General features: G+C 37.6%; 2 long non-coding RNA genes across 3 annotated transcripts in view; one reads left to right on the top strand and one right to left on the bottom strand.

Moving 5' to 3' along the window:
• The window catches only part of LINC00616 (long intergenic non-protein coding RNA 616), a 103,264-nt gene extending 78,599 nt beyond the window's left edge, over window positions 1-24,665 (top strand). Inside the window, exons 8-11 of the long non-coding RNA NR_037866.1 lie at window positions 3,481-3,707; window positions 19,571-19,914; window positions 23,385-23,494; window positions 24,200-24,665. This is a non-coding gene — a long non-coding RNA (long intergenic non-protein coding RNA 616). The remainder of the gene's footprint in view (window positions 1-3,480; window positions 3,708-19,570; window positions 19,915-23,384; window positions 23,495-24,199) is intronic.
• LOC105377447 (uncharacterized) lies at window positions 712-26,849 on the bottom strand. 2 transcript variants are annotated; one of them, XR_939242.3, is made up of 6 exons: window positions 26,743-26,849; window positions 24,395-24,530; window positions 22,485-22,594; window positions 9,351-9,480; window positions 3,467-3,622; window positions 712-793 (listed from the first exon to the last, which is right to left on the bottom strand). It is a non-coding gene; the product is annotated as an uncharacterized LOC105377447 (long non-coding RNA). The 2 variants fall into 2 exon arrangements; XR_007058271.1 differs by lacking the exon at window positions 712-793 and adding an exon at window positions 835-967.

Raw genomic sequence — 26,849 nt, 5'->3', positions numbered from 1 at the left:
TCTTGAAGTCAGTGAAACCAAGAACCCACCAATTCCAGACATATTATTATCCTATAACCAAACACTTATTAGTTGTGATTTTATTCCATTTTCAACAGGTTTGAGTGGACTTGAAATGTATGGACCATAGGTCACTGAAAAAGCTAATTTTCCTTCTTGAAAGATAATCAGAAGAACCAAATTGAAGTTTCACATGCCAATTTTGATTATCTTTCTATAAGTAGTTAGAATGTTATTTTTTAAGCTACAGAGCAATTAATGACTAGAACTGCAGGAACTATTTAATTGGGTATTGATTTAAAGCCAAGCTGTTGTTTGGCTGAAGCATTGCATTATAATTAACGGACCTTAACCAGACTTTAATTTTTCTACATTATATTTGATTTTCAAGCGTTGCAATAGCAACCTTCAAACAATCTACAGAGCAAGGCTTGTATTATTCCTATTAAATTTTTAAAGTTTTGACTGAATTTTTAACATACCTTAAAGACATCTGGCTTTTGATAGTAACTTCAAAGTTTGCTGCATTGTGAAAACGGTACACTCAAGATTAAATTCTCCAACTGACATATTGTCAATTAGTCAATAAATTCATTCATAATTTCATACATGATAATATTATCAGTGGCAGGGTTTACTGAGGAAGACTGTACCTTATTTCCCTGCAGTTCTGGAGCCAAATAGATTCTCATGTGTTTGGAATGATACAGCTAAACACTTACTTGAGGGGCAGAAGACGGGGCAAAATGCCTTTTCAAAGACTCATCCATAATATTCAATGACTGATTAGTCTCTGTAGAATGGAAGAAATATATGAGTTTGTAATTTTTAAAATCGCCATCTGGCCACTGTTTGATTTGGTATAATACTTTAAATTCAAGTCTTGCTATGTTTAAGATGACCACTTAAAATTTTATATTTGGAGGATTCAATTAAATGCTTATCAAGTTCACAGCATCGTTAAGATCTGTAAGGATACAAAAATGAACAAAACATGCATGTTACATGTAACAAAACGTGGATTACAGCCTACTTTGAACACAATATTGCATAAATAACTAAACCACAAGGCAATACATGCTGTATATAATGTACTAATTAAATCTTTTTACAAAACTTACTAAAATTATCAATCATCTCTTTTTTAATGTAAATTTTATTCTGTATATTTAAGGTATACAACAGGGGTCCCCAACCCCCGAGCTGTGGACAAGTAGCTACACGTGGCCTGTTAGTAACAGGGCCGCACAGCAGGAGGTGAGCAGCAAGTGAGCATTACTGCCTGAGCTCCACCTCCTGTCAGATCAGCAGCAGCATTCGATTCTCACAGGAGACAAGCCCTATTGTGAACTGCCCAACTGAGGGATCTAGGTTGTGTGTGTGCTCCTTTTGAGCAGCTAACTAATGCCTGGTGCTCTGAGGTGGAACAGTTTCATCCCAAAACTATACTCCTGCCCCCACCCCAGGTACGCGGAAAAACTGTCTTCCAGGAGACTGGTTCCTGGTGCCAAAGAGATTGAGGACTGCTGATATACAGCATTATTTTATAAGACAAATATATATGTGTGTGTGTACACACACAACTTTACATATGTGGTGACCATTATATACGTAAATATGTATGTGTAAATTTACATATATATTTAAAATGGTCACTATACTGGAACAAATTTGCATATCTATCATCTCACGTAGTTACCCACTTTCTCCTCACTGTGATAAGAACAGTCATTGAGCAAAAATCCTGAACACAATTCACTATTATTAACTGCAGTACTCATTGGATCTTTTGATTTCTTCCTGCTACATATTTGCTACTTTGCATCCTTTGACCTTCATCTCCTCATTTCCTCTTTCCTTTGACCCTGGTAACACTGTTTTATGATCTAGCTCAATACGTTTGATTTTTTTTTTTTTAGATTCCACATGTGAGATCATGTAAAATTTTTCTGTCTGTATCTGGCTTATTTTACTTAGCCTAATGTCTTCTAGGTCTATTCATGTTGTGGCAAATGACCAGTGTGTCAGTCTTTAAGGCTGAGTGTGTGTATGTGTGTGTGTGTGTGTCTGTGTTTGTGTGCGCGTGCACGCCATTCATTGTCCTTACAAGTGTTTACTTTTCTTCCCAGCTGCTATTATAGCCAAATATCCTTAATTTCAAGTCTTATCAATGTTACCTAATAGTTGCTACGAAAGATTCTATGGTGTAAAAGTTTCGGTCTCCTCCATCTTATTTTGCTATTCTAACATATGAGTCTAGCTGCTTGTTTCTGCTGTAGGGTGGTTTGGGAATTTGTTGTAATCCCCACCGCAATTTCAAGTCTGGCAACTGGTGCTCCCTTTTTAAAGTGTGGAACAGCTACTTTGTGTCAGCTCCTGGGAGAGCTCACACACTGGGGAAACAGCAGTGGAACACTTGCAGGAAGGGTTATACTGGCTGAATTTTAAAGCACTTCAATGGATTCAAGACTCCAGTACATTTTATTGATTGTGGAGCTCAGAGCGTAACTGGTTGAATCGCTCAGGAAGTAGATGTTCAGGATTAACCATGCGGTGTTTAGATATGAGTCACTGAGTGACCTTTAATTTACTCTGCATCTTCAAAATCAGGCGGTGTGAAGAAAAATAAGGCAGTAGATTGTAGATTTATTTCCATTTCAGATCAACTAAGAGTCACTTGCTGGTAAAACAGCGTAACAATTTTGCATGCTTATATATAGAACTTATATAACTATATTGATTTTGGTCACTGATCAGTACATTTTAGGTAGTGTACCTGTGTGGGAATACGTATGAACTGATTGAAAAGGGTATTTATCTCTTCAGGAATGTTTTTCGTATGTAACGAAGTCTGAATGGCATTTAACATTTGCATAATTTTCAGTTGTCTTAGAGAATTATGCTTTTCCCTCTTTGCATGCTGATGTTTGTTCACTTGCACTTTATTGGAAATATTTGATAATTCAAAACCTTTTTGAGTATGTGTGCTTGTGTGACTCAACTTGGTATTTCAGTAATGTTACAGAAAAACCATTTTATCAAACATTAATTATCAGCATATTAGTTCCAACAGAACTGTGCCTTTTATTTTGATATTGAAATATTTTCACAGTGAACACAAAGAACTACTAAAAATATGTTAATACTTATATTGTAGTAGCAGAGGAATTCTGTACTGTGACCTTCTTTCTGTATTACTGAATTAGTGATTGGGAAGCAAATAATGAAGACATGTACTATTACAGGCTGTACATGGCTTCCTCCGAGAAAGGAGGTGGGCACATAGGCCTGAAAGTGCTAATGGATTATTTACTCACCACTTAGGACACATGCTGGATAAATGAAGTAAAGGGTGGGGTATCTTGTTCAATATATGAATAAATAGATAAGTGAATGAATAACAAAATTAAAAACAGCCAGTACTATTATTGACCACCATGTTTAAGTTGTATTTTCTGTTACTCACCTGTGTTTTCTCAGTTTTTATAGCAGAATGGAGAAACACAACCAAGGAGATACACCTAAGTAACAACAGCAATGATGTCAAAAAGAGTGCCTGAATACTTAGGGTGGAGGTCCTGGACATGCAAACCCAAGCTTCCTCTTTGCTGTGGCCAGGAATCTGCAGTGATTGAGAGCACAGACTGTATCTAAAATTCCACCTTTCAAAGTTCAGCATATTACTTTTTTTTTTCTTACACCTATAAGTAAGAAACTTAAGCTCACTATCCTTCAATTTCCTCATCCGTATAAAGTGCATAATAATTGTCCCTATCCCATAGGAATGGCTTGGATATTAATGAAATAATATATGCAAAATATTTAAGACAGTTTTTGGCAAATTTGAAGTATCAGCAATCATTATTATAATAATTATTCCTTCTATGGAATCTTGAATGTTTTGTCCATTTTCTTTTGTAGGCTTTAAAACTTGCTTTTCTATAACTGATGTTCTGCATTTATATCTCTGATCACTGGGGTTATCTGTTGTGTTACTCTGACAGTCATGCTGACCTGAGCCACACTGCTGTTCTCTTGTGTTCCAACCCTGATATTGTTCTCCCTTTCCCTGTGTGGTCCTTGTCATTCTTCCTCTCTGAAATTTCTAGTAGAGGGAAAGAAAGGATGTTCCTATCCATTCTTAAGGTAAGTCTGGCTTTCTCTGTTTCTTGATATTAAAACAATGCTTATAGTCCTTCTCTTTCTCTTGTATTCACAAGAGATTTTTCTAGGAACTAGTTGGGAAACAATAAATGTGGGTGCTTAGAATGCTATACTCTAAAATGCCTCTCACTCTGCTAGTAGTCATCCAGTGGCCCAGACCAGAGCTCAGCCTCTGTCTCCTACTTCTGGTGTCTTTGCTGATCACTGAAACAACACCTTAAAGTTAACTGAATATCATCCCCAAATCTCTTATTTGATATTTCTAATTTTGATGCTATAGACACCAAATAGTACTTCAAAAAAATCTCTTTATCATTTCTCTAAAGTTGCTACTTGCTGCTTCTATTACATGTTTACAGGAGGCCAAGTAGAGAGGTTGCAGGATAAATGCAAAGGCAGACAAGTGGGTATAGCACGGCTATGCAAATGAAGAAGTCTCAAAGCCAAAGCAAATCACTAGGACTCTATTGTGTTACAAATAAGTAGAACAGTGTAAAGGGAAACAACTTGAAGGTCTACGACATGTTTTACGTGACGATTTTGTTCAACTGAACCCTGTTTCCTTGACCCTTGAAGTTAGAAATGGTTTTGAAGAATGTCATACTGAAGCAGGACGATCCCCAGCTGCTTGTGTCTTCTTCCGCCGACCCATTCCTCTCAACGTCCAGCTGCTTGTGTCTCTGCCTGCTAGGGTCTCGGGGTTTTCATAGGCACAGGGTGGGGGCATGGCAGGCCAGAGTGGTCTTGGGAAACGCAACATTTCCACGCCAAAGCAGGAGTGCTTGTCTTCACCTAGGTCCGTGGGCACAGGCCTGGGGTGGAGCCTAGCCAGGGACCACATTCTTCCCTTCTCAGCACTTCCCTGCCCCACTCCTGTATCAATACTAAAAAGATATTATAATAATTTTCCTTTATACATATATTTTATTTCTCTATAGAGGACTTGTGCTTTTGACTATTCATGAGTCATTTTGAAGAGGCTGAGTGTAAATCTACTTAGTGACCAGACAGGGGAAAATGTTACTTATTTTTTAAAATAAAAATCTAATGGAATGGATTAAGAGGACAATTCATTACTCTCTCATGAGAGATTTCAGAAAAACATTGCCACCATTCAGCAGAATCGATTTGAGGATTGTTAAGGAATATGTGAAAGAATGAAATTCACAGATAGACAGAAATGATAAAAAGTAAAAGCATGTCCTGAAAACTACAATATTTCTTGTTCTTAAAAGGAATATGAGAATATGAAATAAAGTGATGACTTTTAAAGGAGATGTACAACACTGTGTATGCCATTCTGTTGGTATAAATCATAAAAATGCTCCACAATGTAAATGCTTAGGATACTTTTATTGAATTACTGCAACAATAATAACGTGAGATGAAAGACAGGCATCCATATACCTGCTAATTAAGAAACGGCAACACACTGTAACTACTGCACAAACCATAAAATATTCCGTTCATGTTTGTTGAGAATCCAGAGAGGTTCTGTTTTAGCTTTGTAGGTGCAATTTGGCTGGAAAAGAGGTGCACGTGAAGCAGATTGTTAAATGCTCTTTTACCATTACTTACTGTTTAACAAGGTGCTCCAGTGTGATGAAAGGGAAAGACAACTTGGACTTGAAACACTCCTTTAAATCACTTTTATGAGTTTCAAGGATATTGACTCCTCCTCTCCGAAAAAGTGTCTTTGCTTTGCAAATCACTTTGAGGAGTATAAAGTCTATTCTATAGGTATTGATCAAAGTCATGTGGCTGAATAGTTGAAATGGTTGGCTGTAAGTTTGGTAGTGCCTACTTTTTTATTTGCATGTTAAATTCAGAATGAAAGTAATGAGACTTATAACTCATTCCTTAATTGGTCTTAAAAGTATCCGACCAAACTGTTGTTTTCTCTACATCTACACATGAGGCTACATAACAATACGTAACTAAAAATGTTATTCCCATGATCAAGTGTTAGTTAATTGAAATGATCTGACAAACAATACTATATAGTTTCTTACTTGTTTGTTTTATTTTGAATATCAAATTTATTTTATTTATTTTTTAGAATGTCAATATTTGCAGTCTTTGAACCAGACTTATGTTTTAAAATTTTTGGACCTATGGACTTTACACTTTCTAAGTAGTGTGCCTAAATTACTTCTGCTTCTATAACTTTGTAGATAATAACATTTGCTTCTTAATGTCTTCACATTCCATGCTGATCACACAGGCTCTCTTGCTATCAAGTTGGTAATGAGATATTGAAAATGGGTCAGAGCACTATGCTGATAATTGCCATTTTGGGAACTCCACACCTCTTCACCCACTGGCCACTCCCTTTGTAATCTGAGTCCTATAATGATCTGGGCAATTTTAGCTGAGTGCTAATGACTCTATGGATCAATTGCTTTAACTTGGTTTCCTCACTACAGCAGGGATCTTCGTCCTGGTAAAATTACTAGTATGGGTCTAAGATTGCCTGGATAGTGTTGAAGGTTTTGCACAAAGCTAGTGCTCTGGCTAAAAAAAGTTTCTGAAGGCATGCGAGTGGAAGCATTTTATATGAGAGAAGAGCATATTTTATGTCCTAATGATAGAGGCAGGAGACAGCCAAATGTTGCCCAAGTCATTGTGCACAGGCAGCTTGCCTAAACATGCCCGTGGTGAAAAATTCTGTCCCTTAACACATTCTCAGTAAGGGAAATAAATCATTGTAGAGTGGCCCAGGCCCAGACATGTGCACTGGGAGAATGGGGTGGAGCCACCAGGAATTCACACTTTATGCAGGGCAGGAGCTGGGCCTCTTCAGCTCCTGTGTGGTGGCCTGGTATTCAAGTCTTGTGAGGTGGAAAACCTGCGTGCAGGACTCCTCTTTTTGTTGAGAGTTTTCCTTTTCACTTAATAAATTGCATCCCCCTCACCTTTCAATGTGTCCGTGTGCCTAATTCTTTCTGGTTGTGAGAAAAGAACCTGGATTTTAGCTGAACTAAGGAGAGAAAAATCCTGCATCATGAATTATAAATTTGCTATTAGAATTTACCAAGACTGGAAAAGGCATATAGTTTCAGCTCTTCACTTGAAAGAATCCAGGCATACTCAAACTGCCTAGAAATATATTTGGAGTCCAGAGTGTAAACATTTCTTGACTCTTCCTTTCAGATCACATTTAGTCAGTGTAGAGACTACTTTGAAGTAGTGCTAGAAGTATCTTTTTTGACTCCTTCTTTATTCCTTTTTTATGTCTCCCTTCCTGAGGGGCCTGTTTCATCCTGCCCATTCCCTTTGTAATTAAACCAGCTTGTCTCATTTTTTTGGTGTTGTTGTCTTCCCAGGAATGGGCATCAGCAATCTCACTTGGCTCTGAATGTTATATTCTTCAGAGTGGCGTTTTAATGACACTGTGGTGGCTTTGTAATGTGTCAACTTTGTAAGAGTGAACTAATTTTCTAAAATTTCCTTTCTTGCATGCTTCTAGTTATGATAAGATCAAGATATATTCTTGTGAGAGATTTAGAGACTGGGGATGAAGCACTAACCACTCTGCAGCTCATATATGTTACTGACATGTCTCATATATTGGTGTGAGCCATTAGTGAGCCTGGCAATTGCTCTGTCTTCTGCCAGATTCTTCTTTAGTTTCTCTGACTCCTGGGTGTATGTGCTTAGCTCCATGAAGGTGGGCCCTTGCCTCTGCAGGACACCTTTTTCACCAAGGTCATACACACAAAAAGGACTGACAGGTCTCAGTTTGTCCTTGTAGGCTCCAGCTCATGCTTGTGAGTTCTAGGTGGTTCCTTCTCTCTACCACATTAGGTCCATCTTTCCTTCCCAATTGCTTGCATAGTGGACTTCAAGGTTTAGAATTAAATGCAAAGACAATTGCTTAATCAGCTCCCCAGATTTCATAAGGTCAAATCTCCATATTAAATTGCTTAGTATCTATCTGTGTCTATATCCATATCTATACTGCTTCTCTAATGAAAGTCTGATACTAGTTTGGTGGCAGAAATAGTTCTAGAAGAACAGAATCTTAAGAGTGATTAATCTGAATTTGTTCTGGGTTTTCTGAAATTAGTTCTTTGATCTTATTACATATGAAGGTCATTATATGTTTCCAATGGTATAGAGGGCTAGACTATGTCATGCAGTGGAAAAGCAGTTACATAAATTATCACTTTTAGATACTTGTAATCAAGTACTTACAGATGGCCAGGCTCTGGTGACCATGTATTTGCTGTCATAAAAGCTTTTACTAAAAAACTGAGTATAATGGCGTTGGTTGGTTGGTTGCTTATAACTATGCTGGAGACCTTGGGGGGAAAATACATGACAGGTGCAGAACTTTACATTTCCAGCTCAAAGTCTGCACAAGGGACTGGAAAGCTTCTATGATTCCTCTATGTTTTGTAGTTATAGAGCTGAGATTTGTGAAAATCAAAATCAAATTTTAATCTTGAGCGTAACTGAATTGCAATGCAAATGATTCCCCAACCACATAAGGTCTCCTGTTAAAGTTAAGGCATTGATTAGGGAAGGAGTAGGTTTGTGAAAATAGGGGTAGGGACATATGAGCAGATTTGAGGATACTGGAGTGCTTGATCCCCTATATTTCCCCAAGCCTTGTTTGTCAGTTGAAGCAGCCCTTCTATTCTTGCTTGAGGTGGTTAGCCTCTCCTTGTCTGAAGAACCTGTAAGGGCTTCCCCTGGGTAGGTTGACTTGCAAGGCACTGCTGATCCTTCTCAGGATATACCTCCACATCCTCTCCTTGCTTCTAGACCTAGAATCAAACTCAAGTCCCAGTAGACACCAGTGGATATGGTAAAAGCATAACCTTTGAAGAGGTATAATACAGACAGAAAGAATTGCACATTTTTTCCAATTTATAGTGACAAAAATCCGGAGAATATCTGTGGGAAAGGAACTTTAAGGAAGAAATATTAAATTGGGTCAGGGAACTTAATGATAGGAACCCACTTAGCAAAAATTCCAAATTTAATGTCTTAGCTTGAGAGCAGCTAGAAGTTGTTCTAACCCCTTGGTTGGCTGCTTGACTGATACGTAGATCTAAATGCAGCCTACACTAAGTAACATTAAAATACCCGAATCTCCTTCATACATAGAAGAACAAGGAATTCAAAGCCTTATGAAAATTGAAATGCTAGAATGGATTTATCATGTAAGATCTGCTTACCATCCTGGGATGGTCCAGAGGATACTCTCTTCCACATGGCTTTGATAAATATATTCTTGGAGAGTTCTGTGATGGTTCTTCTCTGCAGACCAGATCTTACCATGGGACTGCTGCCATCAGACTGGGATTCCTAGAAGTAATGAGAATGATGAGGTTTCATGGTGGCAGGGGACAAATGGAAGCACTTAATTGACAAAGACAAAGTGGGCATGCTTATCATAATAGACAGCAGAGCCAAAGTCATAATCAGAAGAGTATAGCTCAAAGCTCTTTGGCATTGACTAACTAACTTTGGTGTTCCATAAACTAAAATAGAGTAAATTCTCATTATTCATTAATTCTGTATTTGCAAATTCACCTACTTGCTAAAGTTTATGTAACAACAAAATTAACACTAGCACTGCTTTTGAGGTCATTCGTGGACATAAATGTGTGCAGAGTGGCAAAAAAAAATTGATTCACAGACACATGTATTCCCAGTTGAGGTCAAAGAAGGCCTAGCTATGCCTTCTTGTTTCGGCTCTCATACTGTAAACAAGTGATCTTTTCATGGTCTATGTGGCGGCACATTTTCTGCATTTTTGTGCTTTTTGTTAATGATTGCTTTTGCTGTTTAAATGGCCCCCATCATAGTACTAAAGTGCTGTGTAGTGTTCTTTAGTGCACGAAGGCTGTGCTGTGCCTTACAGAAAAAATACATATATTAGATCAGCTCTGCTCAGGAATGAGTTGTAATGCTCTTGGCCAATAGGCCAAGTATCTTTAAACAGAAACGCACATAAAATAAGGTTATGTATTGATCAATTGATAAAAAGTTGTGACCAGAGGTTTGCAGGAACCTAATGCTATATTTCTCCTAAGAGCAATGGGCCAGTATTTGCTAATTCAATATTCATGATGACTTTATAGAACATAACTACTGTGAATAACAAGAATCAACTGTAGGTGGTACTGAAGTCTTGATTTTGTAAGCAGAAAAGCTCTAAGTCCAGTGAAATTGATTTATGAAAACAGAGCCACAGCCTCTTAATCATTTCCCAAACTTGAGCCACCTTACATACTCAGATCCCCTTGAATGGAAGGAAAGCTGGGTCCTCTTGAGGAAGGATCTTGCCACACTGCCACAAATATATCATGCTAATCACTGCCCAGCATTGCTCCATGGGACTTGCATGCATTGACCAGGGTTTTTGCATATTTTAAGGGAATTAGTGGACACTGGCTCTCAAATCACATTAAATCCTGGAAATCCAAGATGTCACTGTGGTCTACCAGTCAAATAAGGGGCTTTTGGAGGTCAGGTGATCAATGGATTTTGGCTTAGGTTCTCACACAGTGGACCCAGTTGGTCCCCAAACATCCTCTGTCATCACTTACCCACTTCTGAAATGCATAATTGGAAGAGACATACCCAAGAACTTGTTTCTTTCCTGACCTGTGAAGTGAGGTAAGTCACTAGAACTACCTCTTCATGAATTGGGTATAAACTAAGTGAAATACTACATTCCTGGAAGCACTACAAACATTAGTGGCATGAACAAGGACTTGAAAGATGTAGCAGTTATGATTCCCACCACATCACCAGTTGACTGGCTTATTTGGCCTATGCAGAAGACAGATGGATCTCAGAGAATGACAGTGAATTAGGTAAACTTAATTGAATGGAAACTCAAATTGCAGCTGCTGTTTCATTTCTGGAGCAAAGCAACACATCCCCTGCTCTCTGGTATATACCTACTGACCTGCATAAAGACTATAAAAAACAGTATATTTTCATCTGGCAAGGCCAATAGTACACTTCGTCCTACTTTAGGGATATAGCAGCTCCCCAGCAAAAAGTTATAATCTCTAGCCCAGGAATCCTGATCACAGTTGCCTTCCACAAGAGAACATACTCATCCATTATATTGATTATGTAATTCTGATTGGGTCAGGTATGAAGGAGCACATTGGTAGGACACTTACATGCCAGATGATGAGAAATAAATCTCACAAAAAATTAGTATGCTAGCTTGCCAAAATTTCCAGTTATTCAGTGGTATGGGCCATGCTGATATATCCTTTTCAATGTGAAGGACCAGTTACTGTATATGGCCCATCCAATCTGTAAGAAAAATGAACAATACCCTGATAGGTATCTTCGGAATTTGTGTGTGGTACACTGACACATTTATTGATGGTCAATAACTTTGAGTGAAGCTCAGAACAAAGGAATGCTTTGCAACAGGTCCAACTGCTGTGCAAGCTGCTCTGCCACTTGGACCATATGACATAGCAAATCCATTGATGCTCAAAGTGTCAATGACAGATAGAGAACTTCTCTATTTGGAGCTTACATCAGGCCCCTAAAGGTGACACACAACAAAGCACTTAGGATCTTGGAGCAAAGGCAGGCTATTCTCTGCAGAAAAACTGTAGTCTCCTTCTGAGAACAGCTTTTGGTTTGCTACTGAATCTCAGTAGAAACTGAACATCTGACCATGACCTGCCTAGTTACCATGTGACCTGAACTGCCCTTCGTGATCTGGGCAAAATCCTATACATCATACCATAAAGTCAGGCATGCACACCAGCACTCCATCATCAGATGGAACTGGGCCCTGAGGGCACAAGTAAGTTGCGTGAAAAAGTTGCCAGGACGTCCATGGCTCCTACTTCAGAAACAGTGTCTTTTCTTTCTCAACCTGTTTTTGAGGATTCATGGGGAGATCCCTATGCTCAGTTTCCTGAGGAAGGAAAATTCAGGAACTGGTCCAAGAGGTATGACTGCTGCACTACAGCCCTCCTCTGAGAAGGCCCTGAAGGGGAGCAAGGAAAGAAAATTCTTCCAGTGGACACAAATTCAGGGTTCATACCTGGCTGTCCATTTAGTTTGAAAGGAGAAATGACCAAAAGGATGGGTGTATAGCAACTCAGACTGCAGCTAATGCAGTCTGATGGGTGCATTTGCTGGATGGTCAAATGGGCAAAATCTTTGGAGATATTTGTGTGTGGATGCTCACCAGAGTGACTTCACTATAGAAGGATTATAACAATCAAGAAAGAAAATGATTCCTTTGGTGAATGTCAGTCAGCCTCAGGTCTCATGTAATCAGTTGATGAATAAAGTAGTCATGGTGGTACGATGGAGGTTATATACATGTATTTCCACTTACTGAGGCCAATATGACCATAGCCACTAATTAGTGCCCCATCAGTCATCCAATGTGATCACAGTGATATGTCACTATTCCCCAAGGGTATCCGCAAGCTACATGGGGGCAGGTTGATGGCAATGGGCTGCTTTGATTAAGGAAGGCATTCATTTTACCAGAATAGACACACTGGATATGAATTTGCCTTAGATTTCCTTAGTGTCTCTGTCAAAACTACCATCTATGAATTTATAGACTACCTTGTTACTATTTTCCTTTTCGTTTCTTATAGCTTTCCTATAGCTTCTGGCTCTGATGGAGCAATCAGCCTCCTAATAATAGCTTCCAATCAAAATCTTCTTTGTTTATGAGAGCTTCCTTAGTCATGAACCTTCCCATATTCTGTTGTATATAAAGTCAGTTCCTTTGGAGTGACCTTCAGAGCATTCTGTTCTTATGCCTCACCTCTTCTCTGTACAAAACTCTGAGCCACTGCTCCAGAGTATGGAGCTGGGGCAGTGGGTCATTTTTTCTGGAGGAATCCCTTACATCAGCAGTCCCCAACCTTTTTGGCACTAGGGATCCGTTTTGTGGAAAACAATTTTGCCACTGATGGCATGGGGAGGTTTGGGGATGAAACTGTTTATCCTCACAGAATACTGCATTAGTTAGATTCTCGTAAGGAGTGTGCAACCTAGATCCCTCTCATGTGCAGTTTACAATAGGGTTCGAGCTCCTATGAGAATCTAATGCTACTATGGATGTGACAGGAGGCGGGGCTCAGACAGTAATGCTCCCTCACCCACTGCTCACTTCCTGCTGTGCAGCCCGGTTCCTAAAAGACCATAGACTGGTGCCAGTCCCTGGGAACCCCTGCCTTATATTTTGAGCAGTGTGCCAGTTAGGGTTGGTCATTCCTGGTCTTTTTGGCTTGCCTCTCCTGGTCTGCAGCCTCCATCCAATAAGTGAGCTGGGGTGAAGATGATTGTAACCTCGGTATTCTCAGCTTGCTGTTCCTGGGCTAGAGCTTATGTTCTGAGAGTGGGAGCTGCTTAGAGATCCTTGACCCTTTGTTTTCACTCATCTGGAATTTACCTTGGCCAATGCAGAGCTATGGGAGATGATAAATGCTGCTGGCTTTTCGTCCTGGGGAGAGATAGCACAACCCTTGAGCTGAGGTGTGGGGGATCTCTGTGTTTTTGGCCACACTCACCTGAAGTGGCTCTCTTATCACCTCCAGTATGGAGAGGACAGGAATGGGCAGGTCATGGCTCAAATGCCGGAGACTATTGCTGTTCTTGCCACAGTTTAATAGATTTTCTTGAATAAATGTTTCTTCATGTTTAATGTATGTACTTTGGACAATGTCTCAAGACTTAATTTTTTAAAAAGTAATTTTTACCAAATATGGCTGTTTGACTGGGAAGCTGATCCACAAACCTCCTCACACTGCCTTTCTGGACATGTATTTCCAGGTTAGCTTGCCTTTTGATTGTCCTCAAGATATTGTATGTTTGGTAGGCAGAGGCCTGACTTTGTTATTACCTTTATTTGGAGGTTAAGTATGGTTTAATGAAATGTGGATGTATGCCAAATCGAAAAGAGGCTGATTGTGGTCACTTTGCCTTGTGTCACTTTGGCTCGACTGAACTACATTTCCCAGAATTCTCATTCTGGTATGTTTCTGGTTAGGATGGCCACATGAGAGATTCTTCTGGGATTATTTGGAGGGCAGAAGTACAGCAACAGCCGTTTTCACTCTCACACACTGTTGCTTATTTGCTGGTTCACTTTATTGTTGTGAGGCAGCAGCCAGGCCTGCAACTGTTCCACATTTCTTTGAAAGCATTTAGTTTTTCTGACTTCCAGGCAGGTGTGTGTGTTGAATAAATGTCCCAGCTTTTTTTAGACACCCATTCTACCAGGTTCAAAGGCTTGTATTTGTGGGTTCCAGTGTTTTCTTTCTGTGTCTTACTTCACATCCACTTTCCCATCCTGATTGTCTGACCTATAGAATTTGAGCTCCAGCATCAGACTCTTACAGGAAAGGGGTCCTGATCCAGACCCCCAGAGAAGGTTCTCGGATCTCGTGCAAGAAAGAACTCAGGGCGATTTCACAGTGCAAAGTGAAAGCAAGTTTATTAAGAAAGTAAAGGCATAAAAGAATGGCTACTCCATAGTCAGAGCAGTGGTATGGGCTGCTGGATTGGTATAATTGTAGTTATTTATTGATTATATGCTAGACGAGGGATGAATTATTGATGAGCTTTCCCAGGAAAGGGGTAAAATCTTTACCCTTTTACCCCGGAATTGAGGGTCTCTCCAGTTTTTAGACTATATAGGATAACTTCCTGATATTGCCATGGCATTTGTAAACTGTCATGGCACTGGTGGGAGTGCCTTTTGGTAAGCAAATGAATTATAATTAGAGTATAATGAGCAGTGAGGATGACCAGAGGTCACTTTCATCACCATCTTGGTTTTGGTGGGTTTCGGCCAGCTTCTTTACTGCAAACTGTTTCATCAGCAAGGTCTTTATGACCTGTATCTTGTGCCAACCTCCTATCTCATCCTGTAACTAAGAATACCTAACCTCCTGGGAACGCAGCACAGTAGGTCTCAGCCTTATTTTACCTAGCATCTATTCAAGATGGAATTGCTCTGGTTCCAACATCTCTGACAAGACATAAAGGCGACCGTTTACAGACACTACTAAGCCCGCCTCACAATTCTGAGAAGTCAACTATCTGTTAAAAATTATTATGTATGTATATATCTCTTAGTGCTTCCGCTTCTTTCACTGAAACTCAATGATACAAACATCAACAAATCTTTTTTGTTTTTTTGTTTCCATTGAAGAACTTTCTAAACATAACTCTGAAGCACAATTATACAAAAACAACAAACAAAAACACTTTTGGGGTGAGGCTGGAGAAGGACAAAGAGGTTGGGGTATATAGAGAATAATCTTCTGTACCTTTATTGTAGAGGGACCCTGAAGAAACTTGAGACAGAAAATTATAAAAACAAGATTCCTCTTCCGTGTCACACTCTCCTTTTCAAAGCCATGACCCCTGGGGAGACTAAGACACTCTTTCACTGGGACACAGGAGAGCACCAGGGAGCTAAGATGGTGTCTCTGGACCTCCATAGAAACCCATAATGAGTAAGACTCTCAGCTTCATCACTTTTAACTTTGAGACCTTGGGAAGGCTACTTAACCACTCAGTTTCCTTCTAACTTAGGACACTATTCTGAGATGATAACATTTGTGCTAGCTGTTATCATTATTATTCCCCCATCTTGCCTCAGGAGTTCAGTTTCCTCCACATTGGGAAGTTTGTGATGAGCTGAGAAAATGTTGCAGGCAGCCCTACTCGGCTGACTCAACACTGGCTATTTTGGTCCCCAGTGTCAGGGTTGCTGGCCTTCCATATATCAGTGTTCCTCTTACAGATTTCTGAGGTCCCCAGATCTTGTACTGGTTTTCTGGGTCTTCTGAAGTTGGCTCCAAACCAAACTGTTTGCTATGAGCCATCATAATGCTTTCTCCAAGAGGAAACAGTGTTTCCCTAAGTTGTAACATTTCCCATTGTCCCTCTGAGGAGATTGGGCCTTTGGGTCCCTCAAGAACCCTGCTTTTATAGGTTTATTGCTCCATCTGCTGGAAAGATGTATAATACAAGCAAGATCTGGGGGCTGAGATCTCACTGGATGCCTGGCACTGGGCTAAGATCTGCACCCACATTACCTGGTTTCACTTCCACAAACACTCTATCAGTTCTGTCTTACAGCAGATAAAACTAATGCTTACAGGAAGTGACTTCTCTCTATCATTCAGCTGGCCTGCCAGCATTGGACCCAGCTAGTCTGGCTCTGGAAAGTGCATTTTATCACTATTCTATAACCATAGCTGATTTGGGCTCCGTTAGGGTTGGAGTAGAAATCTTTCCTACCCACTAATAAACGTATGTATTCTATGTGTGGTCTTCTCAAAGGAACTCACACATTCAGAGAAAAATATCTACTTCATAGAATTTCGAGGAGTCGAGAAAATATTTTAATGCAAGCAATCTAGCTTAGTGTCTGACATGTAGTAAGTTCTAAATAAATGCTATTTACTTTACCTTCCTCTAGATCCTTATAGTGCCCTCTCACTTCCATCTAACTGTGGGAACATTTCCTATAGCCCTAGAGCATATTTCTGAAGAACTAAAGATGTTTTAACCCTCTTTTATCATGGGACCCTAATCATCATACTTTGAGTTCCCATTTCCAGTTCAGAAGGCTCTGCCTCAGTTTCCTCCCCATCACAAGACCAAAAGGCCCTTAATGCAAGTAAGATCCTTGAGGACTTGCTTTGATATTTCAGTGTTAACAAGGCAGGGACAAGATCTGTCTGCTCTTCATTCCTAACTTCCTAGGTACTAGATTTAGCAGTGTTAGCACTAGCTCATATTTGCAAATCTCCTTGCAAGTCCAGATTTGCTCCTGTACAAAGGAGGTGATTCAGAATGCCTTTCCTTTAGATTAGTATGTAATGCAATGTCATGTCGATTAGTCAATAGAAAATATGAATCAGCATGTTTGCTATCAGATCAAAACGACTTGCAACATATATTCATCATTGAGGGGTTTGGCCTTTATTACCAGTGCTGGGAAAATGCCTGGATATTTAAATATTTAAATGCCTGGATATTTAAATATCTATGTCTTTCCCAGTTTAAACTTCCTGTGCAAATTAAAGAGGCTCGACCCAGTGACCTCTAAGGTTTATTTATCTTAAATTCAGGTGCTTTCATATTTCATATCTTGTTCATATTTACCAAAGAATAACCTTGGCACTTTGCTGGGTATCTCATTAAGATTCAAAAATAGGTACCAGTGTTCTTACTAATTCTAGCTTGAAAACTATAATTAATAATATACAAATTTAATTTATGGTATTTTAGTGACATTTTATCATACTTTTATTGCAAGGAAATTTGCTTTTTTTAACTCCTGGTTTATCAATGTTTACTTTTTTTTTTTTGAGATGGAGTCTTGCTCTGTCACCCAGGCTGGAGTGCAGTGGCGCTATCTCAGGTCACCACAACCTCTGCCTCCTAGGTTCAAGCGATTCTCCTGCCTCAGCCTCCCAAGTAGCTGAGACTATAGGCGCGTGCCACCACGCCCAACTAATTTTTTGTATTTTTAGTAGAGACGGGGTTTCACCATGTTAGCCAGGATGGTCTTGATCTCCTGACCTCGTGATCCTCCCGCCTCAGCCTCCCAAAGTCCTGGGATCACAGGCGTGAGCTACCACGCTTGGCCCAATGTTTACTTTTAAAAACAGCTTAAACGTAAGAGAGCTTTTATATGTAGTTCTTGATAGGAAAGTTTAATGGTCAAAATTTGAAATATGATGAAAAACATTTCATAACTATCGATTTCACAGATGAACTTTAAAATTGTAACATACGCTATTTTTATTAAAAATATCACCACTCTGTATATAATTCTGAACATTTCTGAATAACGTTAAGTCGACTAGTTATAATACACCTTAAAAAGAATGTTTTAAATTTGTCCCTCCTTCTGTGGGAGGAAAGTTGGCCTAGTTGAAGCTAGGAATCCGTGACTCTAATCCAGGTCTCCTTTATAAAAAGAAAATATACTTTAAAGAACTTGGGGATCATCTTATCAAAAAGGATTAGAAGATGTACTAGAGGAATTATCATTTGTCTGGAGAATCAAATGGCTCACAATGGTTATTACCCTGCTTAAGTATATAGTAAAATAGACTGATTACAGCTTCCTGCTTACCAGGATTAAATACTATAATTTCTAAAATGCTCCTCAGGTATTTTAAATCCTTGTTCATTTTTTTTTTATTTTTCGCTCGTTGGCATTTTGTGTTGTAATTAGTGTGCAGAGAAAGTCTGCATATGTCTATTGTATGAGCCCCTACACCTGTTTTACCGTCTGTCTCTTTCAACAGATTACTTTAAGGGCAATACAAAATACTTTGATTTTTCAATTCAAATCAGTCATATTGGTAATATGGCATTGCTCTGCTAACTAATAAATTATTCTGCATCTCAAAACATGTGATCTGAAAGACAGGAAAGGTCCAAGAGCACGTGTGCAAAGGAGTGCACCCTTGTAGCAGCAAGATTTGTATTGCATTCTGCTCACATGGATTCCAATCTGTAGTATTTTATTTGACTGGTATACTTTTACAAAATAAATGAAATCAAGAAATTTGAATGTATGTGTTTCAAGGAAGCCCAGTAAACTTTACTTATATTGAAAAGGTAGGCCGGGTGCGGTGGCTCACGTCTGTAATCCCAGCACTTTGGGAGGGTGAGGTGGGTGGATCACGAGGTCAGGAGTTTGAGACCAGCCTGATCAACACAGTGAAACCCTGTCTACTAAAAATACAAAAATTAGCCGGGCGTGGTGGCACATGCCTGTAATCCCAGCTACTCAGGAGGCTGAGGCAGGAGAATCGCTTGAACCTGGGGGGTGGAGGTTGCAGTGAGCCGAGATCATGCCACTGCACTCCAGCCTGGGCAACAGAGCGAGACTCTGTCTCAAACAACAACAACAACCACAAAAAAAAAAAAAAAAAGGAAAGAGAAGGTAAAAATCTAGATAAGGACCTCCACCTCTCAGTATTTGCTTTAGACTATAAGAACACTGTACCCTTCAAAGGCTATTTATTTCCCTCCCAGGACGTGGGGCCTAATGTTCTATGGCACATTTGTCATGCGACAGCATGATTTGTTTGCCTACATATTAGAATTCTCTTGCTTCAAAGATGAAACAGCAACTGAATATAAAGTTATATATTTGGGGTGGGAGTTGATATAGATATAAATAGCAGAACTCTTAATATTAATTATTAGATAACTTAAGCATAGATAGCAAGAAACAGACTAGAGTAGCATGACAAAAAATTTAAAAGTCATTTTGCTTTAAGTCATTTTGTTTATCTGAATTTCATATTCCAGCTACAATTCTCCTTATAAATCAGTATTTTCTAATCTCACTCTTGATGCAATGCTAGAGCTAACTGTGCTGAATAATAATGTTTTTCCTCAGGTACAGAGGAATGAAGAAGGAATAAACAGACCTTCTGGATAATTGCATCAGCCTTCCCCACTATTCCAATGCCATGCTAACATTTCAAGTAATGTCCCTTTTGTCTTGCTGAGAAAAAATCATTTCATGATTTATTACACTGGATTAAAGGCTATGCACACTCTGGAGTTGGAACATGACTGAAGGGCAAGCAAGCATAAAGGATATCAGAAACAGTTGATGTGTTTAAATTTTTCTGAATTTCTCAAGTAAACTTTTTAGAAAGTAGTCTGAAGATAAAATGGTTATATAAGTTACTTAAACTGTAGATGATGGCACCTTTATCCCTATATAATAAAATTAAGGTAAGAATTAGTTCTACAAAAAGCTTTCTCTTTTAGAGATTTCTGTTTTATCAGATTACTGTTTGCCAAAGTGAATTTCATAATATGTGACTTTTTTTCAGTATCATTGATTGTCATTGAGCTTGAGAGCCTGAGTTTTTGCTGAAATTGTTCCAATGCACAGAAAATGCCATAAAATTGAGCCTACCGTGGGTTTTTTTTTTTTTTTTTGGATATTACCTACACTTGTAGAAAATCAAAGTTTATTCTAGTCTTTGTATGCTCTGCATATCTGAAATACAAGAGGGGCTTCTGTCAGTCTGGAAGTGATGATATTTGATTTCTCATTTCTTACTATGGTCTCTCTCCAGATAAGTAAGTTAGCTAATTCATCTACTTGATCCTCAATTAATGGCCTTCTTGATTAAATAAGAAGATGACAAGGTTTCTCCTTAATATGAAATTTAAATTACACAGAGCAAAAAAAAATTGTATTAATCTTTAATACCTCCCATGGAGACTTGAATTCTTCACTATACAGTCCAATAAATGGAATATTTAAATATTTAAAGGTTCCAGCAAAAAGTTCCAGCCAGCTGTACTGTTCTAATAACAAGGTCTATCAACTTTTTTTTAACTGAGCAATTTTATGATATTTTGTGAAGAGAAAGAAAAAACCTGCTTAGCCAGCCAGTTACCTGCTTACTTAAGGCAGATTATTTATCCTAGAGGTCCCATTGTCTAAGGCAGATTATGTATCCTATTGTCTTCTACTGACATTCATTTCTATTCATCATTTATAAACTTTATTGAAACATAATTTCAAAATAAAAAGATATGCCATCATCATCACCAACAAAATTATGTTGATGATAGAAATCTTATTGTTTTCTCAGACTTAATCTATCCTCAAAATATAATTTTCAAAACATTTAAAGACTTGATTCTTTTACAAGTTGAGAGAGGATGAGTCAACAATTTATTTAATTAATGATGAAAACAATAGGATTGTAAAACTGATTCATAAATTTATAGATAAGACAGAAGTATTTATAGTCCCTGAAAGACATAATATTGATATAGGATTGTTAAATTAAATAGAAAGCTAGTACCCTTCAAGGATTTGTGGGTGTAGCTTTTGACTGACAGAATAAAACTCAGATTCACAAAAGGCCGGAGAGTTTTTTTGGGAGAATTATATCATCAGAAACACTATCAGCCACCAGCTTGCACTGTAAGTGAGAAAGACAGTACAGAATGAAAGGGGGTCATTGAACTCCCAGAAAACAGGCTTAGAAAATGATTCAACTGCAAACATGTGCTAGCTTTCTTGAAAAAAAGGGGCTAAATATTTGTTGCTTAGTGTTGTGAAGTTTGGGGGGTAATTTAAGCAGTAGATAATTAAGACACAATGAAAGGTTAAATGTTATATTCGAAATAGGTGTTTTACACACAATTTAGAAATGGAGATAAGAAAAGTATGCAGATATCGATAACACAAGTAAAGTAAGATAAATGTCACAAGAGAAATTCACAGCAAGTCTATGTCAACTTGTTGAAAGAGTGAGCAAAGAGCATTCCTGGCCATATTGATTAGAACCAGGCAAGATGTTATGCAAGAAGAAATAATTGAAAACACAGGAATTGAATTTGAAACCTAACAATTAGAAGTTGTGTGATCCACAGCTGGTCAACTGCCTTTACTTGTTTCTCTGAACGAGAATCCCTCATGAGGATTAAATAGGCCAAAGGTACATGCTTTTTTATCCAGGGTGGTCTACTTTCATGCCATTTTCCCAGCAAATATATTAAAAGTGCCCTCTTTTACTCTCAGTGAAGTCTTGCTTTGGATGATGAATTATATGGTTACCTGAGGATTGGTTCAAATAATGCATAGGCAATTTTAAAAAGTGATACTAAACAAAAAAAAAAAACCCACCAAAATTTTACACTTTGCAAGAAACATAATTAATTTTAATAAATTTTATCACAAAGTTACCCTTTGCACTTACATACAAGTATGAACAGAGGCTTCATATACTTACATATATCAATGTATATATGAGCATATTTATACTATACACCCCAAAACATATAAAAATAGAAAGCATGTTTGCATAACAGTTTAGAAAGATTAATCTGACGGTGATGAGTCATAATTCAGAGTAAGGAAAAAGATATTGCCTCAAGTTTGGTATTGGATTTTTCCATTTCACACACAAGATTGATGAATTTCTGTCTAATGGGGTATAATATATGAAATCAGATATATCATAACATATCTATGGTTATGTCTCACCCACCATAAATTATTTAAAAGGGAAGCAAAATCAATAAAACAACAAAAAGCTCAACTTTAAACACAATCATCTGGGGTAACTAGAGGAGCAATGGGAATAGCAACTGAAGGATAATTGGTCACAACTGTTTTCATCAAATATATTTTTGGTGCAGAGAAAAACTATTTTCCTTATTCCCAGAGCGAGTAAGAATGCAGAGACATGAATACTTTGGTTGGGATTTGGAAAATATAGTCAAACTTTAACAACTTTATACAACAGTTCTTAAAAATGTATTAGTGTCAAACTCACCCTTTAGTGACGAAGAGGAGTGACAGCTGTCTTCGCACAGCTGATTGCAGAGAATAGTGTGTGCAACGTCATTGCAGGTACTACTTCAGGGTGATTCATTGGAAATCTGTCTTGAGAATTAAAACATTAACCAGAACTTTTAATACAATTTTTAAGCTAAAGAAAAATTCATTGGCTTGAGGCACTTTTTCAGAACAGGGATTTAACGCTCTGGCAAGGGCCTGAGGATGAGGCAACCTTGCTGCTAACGCAGCTTCTTAGAAGCCTAAATAAATTGATAACCCAAAATCAGGGCAGTGAAAATACCTGTGTTGACCTGGCAGAGAAAGTAAAAAAAAAGCTCAGATGTGGACATCCTGAAATGTATGTACTAGGTGAGGCCATAACACTTATGAGAGAATTATGTTCCAGGGAGGACCCAGAGGACAATCTAATCACCAAGGGCATCAGGAAAGCACTGGATAGAAGGCCAGCAGCATTGCTGAGAAATCCAGCGGTGGCTGTGCTCTGCAGACAGAGCCACCCACCTCAAGGGTCATGTTACATTTCTATTGTTCTAACAATTACAACTAACCAATTCATAACTTAAAGGCAATTCTTACACTCAGTGATTTTCTCAAAATTGAGGTTTAAGCCTGAGTTGTACTAAATTAATAGTATGAATGTATGTGCTGCTTAAAGAAAGCAATTGCTTTTCTCTTTGTGCTCATGTATTACTTGTCTTCGAGAAAACTGTATTCTGCATAAAGTGTAATGTTCTGCGTGGTCAGAAAGGTTTAGTAGAATGAGCACAGGCTCTCAAATCAGAAAGAATTGTAATTTTGGCTATAAAAAGTTTTGAATTTTAAATTATATTAATATATTAAGCTCTTACACTTATTGAATGCATATTATGTGCAGATAACTCTTCTGGGCACTTTATTTGGAATTAATTATTTAATCCTCATAACAACGCCATGAAGATCATACTATTACCATCCAAAGTTTACTGAGGAAGATACTGAGGCAAGGTTGGTGACTAGTAACATGACCACATTTGCTGTGGATAGGTCAATCCAGGACATCTGACTTCAAAACTTGCAATCTTAGCCATATGATAATTTGCATCTTTATTTTGATTCATGATTCTAAGAAATGTTCATTGAGCTCTTACGCTGTTACAGACCCCACAGAAGCAGCAAGTAATGGAATTAAAAAAAATCTCTTCTCTCTTGGAGCTGACATTATAGTGGGAAATGGAAATAATTAGAAGATTGTTGTCATATTAAAATATACAATCCATTGTGCCTGAAACTATGGAGGCTAAAATGGATAGCTTGCTTCCTTGAAATCTTAGGGAAAAGATGATTAATGTTTGCCAAAGAATTGAAAGGCCCAAATTGAGAATAACTGGAGTCCTTAAACTTGCCATTTTGCATTCTAGCAAAATCATACATCTTTGATTTAATAATTAGAAGGGAAGCAAGCTACTGCTCCTTTGTGTATAATTACAAGCTTGTTGCAGGCAAATAATTCTGTATATTAACAACTTTTTCACATTTTTGGTGAATCATTATCTCTTCAGTTTCTGACATTATAACAGCTATCATATTTGTATACTTTCTATCAAATTTGCCTTGATATGAAGGGGTTTTACAAACTTATTGATCATTTATGCCATGTATAGTGTTATTGGGGATATAACAAAAATAAAAAACTGTTTTGGTCCTCAATAGATTTACAATCCAAAGCAGAGTGGGAGGAAGAGACCTACAAGACCATGTTTCATTGGATAGCTTTGGAGTAATATCTATAATTTTAGAAAAAAGTTAAGAGGAAGAAGAAACTGGTGTCAGCTACACTTAGAAGATTTTACAACAGAGACTGGCTTCCATTCACTGATCAGACATTCACTGATTTTTAATTCTTACCACCAGAGAAAAAGTTGTTATGATGAGGGTCCTCAGGAAAGACAATACAGTCAGCCGAGAAATACAATTTTCTTTGTCTACTGTTGTTTCCTTTACACGGACCATTGAAATATATACTTAACCACCAGCAAAACTCCTATTAAACACAAGTAAAAAAAAATCACTACATGCAAAAGAGTGAACACCAGGCAAAGTGATAATTTATGAATTTCCAGGATTTTTGTTGTAATTTACCCGTGTAAGTTTACAATAAATGATTGATGTAACTAAATTTATGGATTGCAATTAATTACTAGGTTTGTACCACAGATGAAGTAATATATATATTGTCTAATTTAATAATGATTTGTCTACAGAATTCAACCAACTGCTCATTACAGAATCTGATGAACCTACCTTTAGACTACCTGTTATCTTAACTACCTGTGAAGATACTATATATGATGTAATAGGTTTAACAAATAATGAAGGACCTTTTGTCCTTGCTTGACTCAAGAAGGGATGGAGGGTCTCCAAGAAATATAAATGTAGTCTGCTATAATGGGTATTAGCTAGATTAGTACTTCAGAAAAGGAAGAATTATTTTCATTATCAAATGATTATTTGATATTTCCATTCTGCATTCTAAGCACATATTAGTTGATGTACAGGTGCTGCTGGATAACTGTTTGGAAACAGACCACAAAATCGCTCCAAAAGGTAAAATTCTCAAATAACAGAGTTGTCATGGTTGTAAAAAAAAGGTATGATAAATACATAAAAGCTGGCAAAAATGGGGAAGGATTAAAACTGTAACCTTAGTTATCCTTCAGTAAACATAGTTAAGTAGAATGAAGCAGATGTTTATTCTGGTAGATTCTATTGCAATGTTACATTTTAACTTAATATTTCTATTTTGTGATTTATTTTTAGTATAGCAAAATGTTTGGTTAATATTGTGGGTATTGATACTGTGTTAAAATTTGTGACAGTCTATTTAATTTTTCAATATGAAGAAGTATTACTGCTATGATGAAATATTTACTGTTGTGGTGGAAATAAATAAGAAAATAGAATTGACTAAAAGCAAAACAAACCAATAAAAAAAGAAAAAAAGTCTGTTATTTATCAACAAAACATTAGGAAATTTACATGCTTAAAGTAAACTTTGATTCCCTATTCCAAAGTGCCTTATATATTCTACTCTCTTTGCTTTCACATAAATTTATTCTATGCTATAATGTAACTGGTATACTATTAAGTCCCATACATATGTTACATTGAACCATACATTTTTCTATTCCAGGAAAGAGAATTTTCTCATTTTTTCCACCACTACCATCCACCACAATGACCACTATTTTTCTCTTCACTTAAAAAGTATCATTTATCTAAAGTTAATGGCATAGTTTCAGACTTCTCATGTGTCCAAGCATATGAATTAACAGTTCCTATGTTATTGTCCTAAGATTTGTAGGTTAAACCTTGGATATTCCCATCTGAGCATCTGTACCAAACAGAAAAGACCTGTGTGAGTTCCTGAGAACCAGTGCTCATTCCAGAAGAGACAGGTTTCTCTCCAGGAAGAAATGTCTGAAATTCAGTGAATTAAAATCCTCATTGAGTCTTCCTACTCTTTACTTCTCCCTGGAAAAACTGGTTACGAAAATTTAATATTCTGTCATGATAAGATCAAGCTCTATCAGATCAGCCATACATATCAAGTACATTTTGACAAACTTGATTCATACTGTTTTCAAATTATGAACAACCAAGGCTCTTCTATCCAAAAATATTGATTATTTAATTCTGAATATCATTACAGAGCAGTAATATGCTCTCAGCATTTGGGGATACAAGAGTCAGAAGATGGACAAGCTTCCTTCCTAACAACAATTACCACTTAATTACAATATACCAAGTAGTATTTTATCTGCTAGGTATATTGGACTTACTTTTCACAGATAGTTTATACTAACAAAATTTCTAACCAAAATATTTCTTGAAAATTACTGATTTTATTTGAAATTATGTGCAGGAAAAATACAAGCATATCTCTGAATTTCTATTTGTCTGTTAAACAAAAGGGGATAAATATGACTAATGTCATTTAACAAGAGGAATTACAGACTATGAAAAGAGTAGCTTATTTATATCAACTCACAATACTTTCCAGAGAGAGAAAGAAAAAGGCTATTATGTGGCCTGAACAAGAAGTTGGCCATCCTTTTCCCTTTCTTTGTGGAAGATGGTCCTGATAGGATAGAGACTTAAAGAAGGGATTGATTTGTTTTCTCCAGCTGTCCTAATAGTGAGTGAATAAAATTAACTGTGAACTATTTCAATCAATAACTCAATGATTGACTTACATTGATTAGAAAAGAGCTGATTCTTTGCCATGGATATCTAGATACCTTGATGATCCTATTTTGAACCAATTTAAAAGTAGGACAATACCCACTGGATGGAAGTTTCA

This window comes from Homo sapiens, chromosome 4, assembly GCF_000001405.40.
Source record: "Homo sapiens chromosome 4, GRCh38.p14 Primary Assembly".
NCBI classification, from domain to species: domain Eukaryota; kingdom Metazoa; phylum Chordata; class Mammalia; order Primates; family Hominidae; genus Homo; species Homo sapiens.
This window is presented reverse-complemented; position numbering and strand designations above follow the sequence as displayed.